Source organism: Homo sapiens, chromosome 2, assembly GCF_000001405.40.
Source record: "Homo sapiens chromosome 2, GRCh38.p14 Primary Assembly".
NCBI classification, from domain to species: Eukaryota; Metazoa; Chordata; class Mammalia; order Primates; family Hominidae; genus Homo; species Homo sapiens.
This window is the reverse complement of record NC_000002.12, coordinates 239,635,966-239,646,115: the sequence shown is the minus strand read 5'-3', so window position 1 is coordinate 239,646,115 and position 10,150 is coordinate 239,635,966. Positions and strand designations below refer to the sequence as shown.

At 49.4% G+C, this 10,150-nt stretch overlaps 2 annotated features.

The window, feature by feature from the left end:
• Positions 800-1,325: an enhancer, noted in NCBI's record as "H3K27ac-H3K4me1 hESC enhancer chr2:240566485-240567010 (GRCh37/hg19 assembly coordinates)". NCBI's record gives its function as "activates a minimal SCP1, AML or CMV promoter by ChIP-STARR-seq in primed H9 embryonic stem cells {active_cell/tissue: H9 hESC(primed)}" and the evidence as "EXISTENCE:reporter gene assay evidence [ECO:0000049][PMID:30033119]".
• Positions 1,326-1,853: an enhancer, noted in NCBI's record as "H3K27ac-H3K4me1 hESC enhancer chr2:240565957-240566484 (GRCh37/hg19 assembly coordinates)". NCBI's record gives its function as "activates a minimal SCP1, AML or CMV promoter by ChIP-STARR-seq in primed H9 embryonic stem cells {active_cell/tissue: H9 hESC(primed)}" and the evidence as "EXISTENCE:reporter gene assay evidence [ECO:0000049][PMID:30033119]".

The following is a 10,150-nucleotide window of genomic DNA, read 5'->3' as shown; positions in this document are numbered from 1 at the left end:
GAGTAGCCCTAGATTCGATTCTGCTCAGGTCCCAACTAGCAAAGAAACAAAAGGACTAAACTTTCTTTGCAGTTTAAGCCCTTCCAGAACAGAGCTCAAGAATATTTATAGGAAGACTGAGATGCCCAGCGCCCTGCAAGGTAAAGTCACAAAGTCTGAGCGTATTCCCAACTTCAAACGCTGGCATAGCCCAGACGCCCCTCAGCAGGCGAAAGACCCACACGCTTGATATATCCACAGTGCAACTCTATCGGCCACACGAGGACCACACTATCAATGCATACGAGCTTGTGAACAACTCTCCAAGGCAGGTGTTGGTGAAAGAAACTGGTCACAAAGGCTGCCGATTGTGTGATTCCATGTATGTGCCATTCTCATTTTCAATAATTAAAACTATGGTGGAGGAGAACAGATCGGCGGGGGGCGGGGGGGGGAGGTAGTGTGTGACCATAAAGAAATAGCTGAGGCTGGGCGCGGTGGCTCACTCCTGTAATCCCAGCACTTTGGCAGGCCGAGGTGGGTGGATCATTTGAGGTCATGAGTTCAAAACCAGCCTGGCCAAGATGGTGAAACCCCGTCTCTACTAAAAATACAAAAAATTAGCTGGGCATCGTGGCGGGTGCCTGTTATCCCAGCTACTCGGGAGGCTGAGGCAGCAGAATCGCTTGAACCTGGGAGGTGGAGCTTGCGGTGAGCCGAGATCGCACCACTGCACTCCAGCCTGGGCGACAGAGCGAGATTTCACCCAAAAAAAAAAAGAAGAAGAAGAAAGAAAAAGAAAAAAAGAAAAGAAATAACACAAAGGATTTGGGGGCAGGTGGAGCCCTGGACCTGTTGTGGTGATTGTAACTGATCATGTGTTTACATGCATGGAACTGCAAGCTAAAATGAAAAAATCTATATGACTATATGATGACTTTAAAAATTAAAAAAAGGAAAAAGTGTTCATACTGCGTTTCTTGTTACAGACATTTCTAGAAAATGAAAACTGATCTGTGATGTGAGAGGCAGATCAGCCATTGCCTGTGGATGGGGCACTGGAGGAGGAGGGCAGCCAGAGGCAGGACAGGTGGGTCCCCAAGGGGCACCAGGGAGAGTGGGGCGGCAGGACAGGAAGAGTGCTTGTGGTCATAACTGGATGGACGGCTTCACCTGTGTGTATCTACGCAGACGTCAAACGTCCCAAACTGTGGTCATAACTGGATGGACGGCTTCACCTGTGTGTATCTACGCAGACGTCAAACGTCCCAAACTGTGGTCATAACTGGATGGACGGCTTCACCTGTGTGTATCTACGCAGACGTCAAACGTCCCAAACTGTGGTCATAACTGGATGGACGGCTTCACCTGTGCGTATCTACGCAGACGTCAAACGTCCCAAACTGTGGTCATAACTGGATGGACGGCTTCACCTGTGTGTATCTACGCAGACGTCAAACGTCCCAAACTGTGGTCATAACTGGATGGACGGCTTCACCTGTGTGTATCTACGCAGACGTCAAACGTCCCAAACTGTGGTCATAACTGGATGGACGGCTTCACCTGTGTGTATCTACGCAGACGTCAAACGTCCCAAACTGTGGTCATAACTGGATGGACGGCTGCACCTGTGTGTATCTACGCAGACGTCAAACGTCCCAAACTGTGGTCATAACTGGATGGACGGCTTCACCTGTGTGTATCTACGCAGACGTCAAACGTCCCAAACTGTGCACTTTAAATGTGTGCACTTGTCAACTACACTTCAATAGAGCTGTTACATTTTTCTTGACTCTCAGATGCTCCAATACAGGGCAAAGCTACAGTGCTTGAAAACGTTGGACAGCTCCCTGGGGACAGCAGCCACAGCTCCTGCTCTCCACGCCACCCTCAGTCCAAGTGCAGGGCACGTTGGGGCGTGAGCACAGGATGTGTGGCTGTGCACAAGTATGTACACATGCACACACAGTCACACACACTGCACCACCCCACACACACAACCACACCACACACGATCACACACAACACATACACACGACACACAATCGCACACACCACACAAACCCCACACATACACACAATATACAACCACACACATGCACACACAGTCACACACACAATCATACACACTCAACACACCCCACACACCACATACACAACCACACACACCACACAATCACACCACACACAATCACACACCACATTCATACAAACACACGACACACAATCGCACACACCACACAAACCCCACACACCCCACACATACACACCATATACAACCACACACATGCACACACAGTCACACACACAATCATACACACTCAAAACACCCCACACACCACTTACACAACCACACACACCACACAATCACACCACACACAATCACACACCACACTCATACAAACACACGACACCCAATCGCACACACCACACAAACCCCACACACCCCACAGATACACACTATACACAACCACACACATGCACACAGTCACACACAGAATCATACACACTCAACACACCCCACACACCACACACACAACCACACACACCACACAATCATACCACACACAATCACACACCACACTCATAAAAACACACGACACACAATCGCACACACCACACAAACCCCATACATGCCACACATACACACCACACACAATCACACACATGCACACACAATCACACACCACACACACACACCACACACCACACATTCTCACAGTGAGCAGACATCTTACCCCAGCTACACTTTACACACCCTACAGAAAACTCTCTCACCCCACACTGCACATCCCCTCACACTGACCACACAAACCTACAGAGCCCACGTCCCCCACACCCAACATACACCCTACACACACCCTCCCATGCACCTGCACAATCCCCACAGTGGAGGAGACCTTTTCCAACCACCCTGACAACTCCCCCTTCTCACACCCATGCTGTCCCCCTTATCTCCGTCCACGATTGCCCAATGGCCTGGCTCTGCCCTCAAATGCCATGGCTTCCATTTCCCTTGGAACAAAGTCCACAAACACCCCACACAGCCCACACATACACACCACACACACAATCACACACACTCCACACACCCCACACACCACATACACAGAATCACACACATCACACACAATCACACACACCACACTCATACAAACACATGGCAGTCACACACCATACAAGACCCACATACCCCACACATATACACCATAATCACACACACCCCACACACCACACACACACATGCACAGACATGATACACACAATCACACACACCTCACACATACACATCACACACAATCACACACACCACACACATACACATCACACAATCACACCACACACACCTCACACACCACACACAATAACACACACTACACATACACACACCACAATCACATATACTACAAACACCTCACACACCCCACACATACACATATACCACAAACACCTCACACACCGCACACATACACATACCACAATCACACCACACACACCACATGCATGCACAAACATGACACACAATCACACAGACCTAACACACCACACACATACACATCGCACACAATTACACACACCTCACATGTACACACGACACACACACTCCCACACCCCCACACATACACACCACACACACACACCACACACCACACATTCTCACAGTGAGCAGACATCTTACCCCAGCTACACTTTACACACCCTACAGAAAACTCTCTCACCCCACACTGCACATCCCCTCACACTGACCACACAAACCTACAGAGCCCACGTCCCCCACACCCAACATACACCCTACACACACCCTCCCATGCACCTGCACAATCCCCACAGTGGAGGAGACCTTTTCCAACCACCCTGACAACTCCCCCTTCTCACACCCATGCTGTCCCCCTTATCTCCGTCCACGATTGCCCAATGGCCTGGCTCTGCCCTCAAATGCCATGGCTTCCATTTCCCTTGGAACAAAGTCCACAAAGATCCCGTAACAGGGGAAAGCGCTTTCTCTGCACGTGAATGTGTATCGAAGGCTGCAGCCAACAGCAGCCAGCTGTCATGATGGCCGGTCAAGGATGCCGGCCCACCTGGGGGGACGCACAGAATCTCCAAAACCCAAGGAGATGAAGAAGTTGGCCAAGAGGATGTGGAAGAAAGGAGCAAGAACGTGCGGAGAATAAGAACCCCCAGACCACTGGCCAAAGAGGTGGGGAGTGAAGTTGGCAGAGGGGCTCCAGGGTCACACACACCAGGCAGTGCCAGGCTGCGGGCGGAAGGTGCAGACCCACTGTGTGGGCCTCAGAAAGCCCCAGACCATTCTGCAGTCCAGCTCCACATGGCATTTCCAGTGATTCTTTTTAACAAACATTGAAATAGACGACTGTGTTATTTTGCAAACCTGGTTTGGGCTGGGGTCTGAGATGTTTGTTTTAATCTGCTTAGTTGAACAAGGAAGATGAGAGCTTCCTTTTCTAATTGACTCTTCACTGGAGGGCAATTAACCTCAAGAATGTTTACTGCAGGGGATCTACAGCGTCTCTTAGATATAGTAATTTGAAGGATGGGTCTATGTTAGATTAAAAATCTTTCTGTGTTTGCCATTACCCTCTCTAAACACGGGAAGGCCCTACATTGAGGATCTCAGATTTGGTATAATTAACTTTTAAGGGCTTGAACCTGTCTGGATGTGTAATTTCTTCCCAGAACATTTGGGAACTATTATGTAGCCCATGATATCATTAACATAATTATTGTCAGCACTTCGCGTGCAGTTTCTCCATCTTCGAGCTGAAGTTGCATACATAATCATTTCTCCGCCTGTTGGTCACATTGCTTTCCTCTGTTCCTCGAACACCGGACACGGGTCCCTGTTTCCTGCAGAACAGAGTCCACTCTCCTCAGCACAGGGCTTGAGGCCCTGGGGTCTCCCATGGTTCTACCTCTCCCTGGTGAAGTGTCATGCACCAGAGATCCAAGGAAGACCACTTCTGTGACAGGTCACATGCATTCCTCGGCCTGGAAGACCCCTCTTCCCACATCCTGGTCACTGCCACATCTCACGGCAGAGTTCAAATATCACCCCCTACAGAAGACCTCCAAGATTCCCACACTGTGGTTCACACAGGACTGGCCCTGACCCTGGAGAGATGGAGTTTCAGGTCTGAGGAGAGCTCATTAAAGTTCTAGGTCCAAGGGGCTCTGTGGGCACTGGAGGGCTGGGCCAGGCTCCCACTCCTGCCGGCTCACAGTTAGTTGTTGGACAGGACCCCTGCCCACTCCCAGCCGAGCTTCCTCCTGACATCAGAGACATGGTCCCTTCAGGAAGCAGTTAGGTGAGTACTCATGCGCAGTGATGACTGGGGTTAGGATGAGTGTCGATTTGCCGGGTGCTGTACTATGGATCAGGCTTACATTCGGCCACTGTTGTGGACAGAAGACAAAAATAGTTTTATTCCTTGCCTTTGGGAGCATTTTGCTATGACAAGTTAGCCTTCAGTTCACAATTTCAGGGGATCCTCACTAGCAAACAGAAGCTACTTTTAATCACTGGTGAGGGTCTTTGGGAGTGTTGGGTTAATAATGTGTATAAGATCAACGAAGAGAAAAAGGAAAGAGGCAGGACCTGTGGCCTGGCGTTGGTGTCTAGCCCAGAGTGAATCCAGGTGGCAGATGCTGTTGGCTGATCACCCAGTGGCCCCATACTCTACTCTCTGAGGCCCTGGCCCCTGGCTTCTGTGCACTTTGCTTTCAAAGGCTTTGTGCCTGGGAACTCCAGAGAACCCTGGAAGTGTGTATCCGGGAGCTCATGTCTACAGTCAGCCACTGATGACAGGTGCAGGGGTGTGGAGGCCTCGCTTTCTAACCTGGAGACAGGGCACCCTCCAAGGTACAATTCTCCCTCCAGAGCTCGCACAGGACCAGGCTGAGGCTGGGTCTCCACCTGAAATCACCCTCTCTAGCTTCCACCCCTCCCCTGCCCTGCTTCCCCTCAAAGTTGCCATTTTCTCCAGAGGACACTTTTTAGATGAATTCCTTGCTTGCATGCTGCATCTCAGGGTCTGCTTGTCCCAAACACAATCTGAGATTCCTGAGCCAGTGGTGAGAGGCAGCCAACAATGACCTGCAGGGGAAGTTCCACACCTGAGCATTCCACACCTAAGCACAAGCCCAGAGTGCCAGGGCCGGGACGGGGAGGCTTGATTCTGGGTCTTGTGTTGGAAACCCATGCAGCTGAAGGTGTGTGACCAGACCCCCAGGACCCTGGAATGGGTCTACCCCATAAACATCAAAATGCATGCCAACTGAAAAAAAAAAACACAATTGTATAAAGTTAGAAAGGAGCCTTTATTTCTTATAAAGGTTTACAGGCTGCAAGGTAGCCATCCTGACAGGCTGGGAAATGTAGCCTCCAGCAGAGACTCAAAAGCAGGCACTTCAAAGGAGGGGGTGGGTGGGGCATAAGCTTCATGCTGAACAGATGGACTGAATACGCACATTCAACAGGCTGCAGGAGGAGCCATGAGCATTCACCAAGGGGTTCCTGATGAATAGCATTGAACAAACATGCATGTGACATGCAACACACGTTCACTGTGGGATGGAGACATCGAAATGCATTACAATTAGGCCCTGTACATCCAAAGGTGAAGCAGGGACAGGAAGGCACTCCATGGGTAGCCTCTGTAACCACCAGAACCAGTCCCTGGTCAGTGGTCTCTTACTAGGAGAACGTTACGGAAATGAGTCTCTTGTCCAATCACAGTCATGGTCTGGCGGAGCAGGGGTCAGAGAGTCAGTGTCTGGCAGGGGTGGCCTGCCCCTGGTTTAATGTTGTTTATCTCAAGGCCACTGTGCCTTTAGCTGCTAGAGAAAAAGTGAAAAAAACCTCGAGAGAGTTAAAACAGTTTATCTTTTAAGTGTACGGTGTGTGGCTTAACCCTTTTTCTGTCATGGCCTTAAATCCTGTGTACAATTTGATATTTTGACACAAACAGTCCATCCACCAGTCTTTTTTTTTTTTTTTTTTTTGATATGGAGTCTTGCTCGATCACCCAGGCTGGAATGCAGTGGCATGATCTTGGCTCACTGCAACCTCCACCTCCCGGGTTCAAGCAATTCTCTTGCCTCAGCCTCCTGAGTAGCTGGGATTACAGGTGCACACCACCACGCCCAGCTAATATTTGTATTTTTAGTAGAGACAGGATTTTGCCATGTTGGTCAGGCTGGTCTCAAATTCCTGACCTCAGGTGATCTGCCTGCCTCAGCCTCCCAAAGTGGTAGGATTACGGGTGTGAGCTACTGCACCTGGCCCATCCACCAGCCTTATTATCTCTATTTTAACACTAATGCTGGTCAGTTGTTGTGTCTAAACCACAAAAGGGAGGGGGTATAAAGAAGCGTGTCATGGCTGGCAACTCAATTTTAAGGTTTTCCTGGGGTCCCCTTGGCCAAGATGGGGGTCTTTTCCATGGGTGGGTGCTTAGGATTTTATTCTTAGTTCTCAAGTCAGACTTGCAAGGGGAAATGCAGGGCTGGGTCACCAATCCACTCATAGCAGGTCCTGAGTTGCAGTCCAGGCATTGACTTACTCAGACCAAGTCATGGAGTCCCATGGCCTCGTGCTCCTCACGGCTGTGCAGCTTTCCTAACCCACTGGACACTAGGAGAGTAGAAGAGGATCAGAATGTCAGAGTGAATCTCATGCATGATGTATTTATAAATGACTAAATTAAAAATTTCAGGTGGCTGTACTAAGGGAAACGTTCTATAATGTGATTCATGAGGTATGATAAGGTCTGTAATTTTGGAGGGAAAGAGAAAAATGTGTTTCCTTCAGAGCAGACCCAGGGCCAAAGTTGCTGTCACACCATAGAGGTCAGGAGTTGGAAGTGGAAATCCCCCACTGGAAGCCTAAGAACAGATGACACCCTCAGGTTCCAGACTCCATGCTGAATAAAGCGGATGGAACTCAACCCCCCAGTCTTGCCAGTAAGGAAGCCAAGACCCACAGTGGCACAGTGACTCGGCCGAGCTCACACAGCACAGTGCCTAGACTCTGAGCTACAACCTGGGATTCCCAGTGCGGGTCTCCTCCCATGTGCTGGGCTGAGTTTGCACCTGGTGGAAGATGGAGGGTCTTTCCTTAGGGGAGCCTGGGGTGGGAGATTGGACACAGCAGGGGATCTCCATTGCACTGATAAGGACAGCAAGGAAAGGGCTCCAACACCTCTGCTTCCTTGGCGCCTACAGGCTGTGTGATCTGATGGTACAGATGGGCTGCGTGACCTACCCAAGTCTTCTGCTCATGTTTTGGGTCACTTTGAGTGGCTTGGCCAGCATGTCAGGCAGATAAACAACTCCTCAGTTTACTTTCCCACCCTTGTTCAATGTGGAGAACATTTCTGTTTCCATTGGGCTAAGCACATTCTAGCAATAAGCTTTTCCCCACCAGGCATCCAGGGACTTTTTCCCAAGGCGCGACACTGTTTAGACAGCGGCTCTGAACCATGCTATTTGCAGGCTGATGGTTAGCTGTTTGTTTCTTTGTTTAGTGTCCTTAATTTCTGGCTCTGTGACTTTTGTCTTCTTGTTATACCTTGTAATCATTTTTGATTATAGCTCTTGTACCAACTTTTCATATAAGCTTGTCTCTAACATTCACAGGCAATTCAGTTACTTACATTGCTTAAAAAATGTCATTGCCTCATTTGGTTGCCAGTGGCTCCTCCAGTCAGTTTTCTGGGCATTTGATTTCCAGGAGGCAGGTGTGGGACCCCCTGGGAACCACAAGAGGACAGAGATGTGCTCTGTCAGCCTCTGAGTCTCACCCACTTGGACTTGTGGGCACCAGCTTCAGGGAAAGAAGGGGTTCATTTGAGCTGAGATAGCTGTGAAGGAAGAGCCAAGAGGCAAGCGTCCTTGATTTCTGTCAGACCAGACCCTGAGCACAGATACCCAGCTCTCTCTGCCTCCCCTCCGAGCACCTGAGCCTCCCCAAGGAATCTCCGGGCTTCCTTCTCAACATTGAAGAATGGTGGCTCCCAGAGTCCTTACCCTCCCCCACAGATGCTGTAAGACTACAAAAATAAGAAGGAGACTATTCAACAGTTACTGAATGAGTCACTACTATTTTCCCAGCAATGTTCTAAGCACTTAACTCAGACCATCATTTCAGTAACCCCACAAAGTGAGCAGCATTCTTGTGCACACTGTACCAATGGGAAGATGAAGGCTTAGAGAATGTAGTTACGAGCAAGGTGTTCCTGCCACAAAGAGACAAGGCTACACACACTGGAATGTGGAGTCTGAGCTCAGATTTACAAGGACACCTGCTCCTAATGACTGTGACAAGCTATGTAAAATGGTATCACTTCAACTGGACCAGAAGGTGACATGCAAAAGACTGAAGGAGAATGTGCTGGCTATTGTTATTTTTTTAAACTCTCTTTGCAGCTTTGATAAGCCATTGTATTAATTATCTAGCATAATAAGCTCTACACATTTAGCAGCTTCAGCAACACATATTTATGATCTCAACATTTCTGTGAGTCAGGTGTCACAGCTTAGCTTTGCATCCCACAAGGCTGCAATCAAGATGTCAGCCAGGGCTGTAGTCTCATCTGAGGCTCAACTGTGGAAGCATCTGCTTCCCTGAAGACTAAACAGGCATAAACACCAGGAGGCAGGGGTAACAAGAGCCCATGTAAAGTCTACTCTCATGCTGTCTTCTCCACAGGAGACCTGGTACCATTGATTCTGCACAATGTGCTGTGGGATCTCAGAGGCCAAGGCTAATAACTCTGCCTGAGGCTCCTGGGAGTTCTCTTTGGGTGAAGGAGGTGAGCTCAGAGTGGTCACGGAAGGATGTCAGATGAGACCGGCATCCCAGCTCTGGGACCAGCAAAGGCACAGGAGGTTGAGGAGGGGGCATGCTGGAAAATGACAGCTGGTCCAGAAGGACCCCAGTGAGTGGTGAGGGGATCATTATCCAGAGGCAAAGGCTTAAGGGGACAGCAGGATGAGGACAGGGCCTGCATAATATGCTCCTATGGGACCTTGACCCTCTAATAGACTGCTTGCTTATGAGATGGTGAGTCACATTTAGAATCCATCATTGCTGGGGCCATGTCTCAGTTATCTATTGCTGCATAACACATTTTTCAAAAACTTAGTGGCT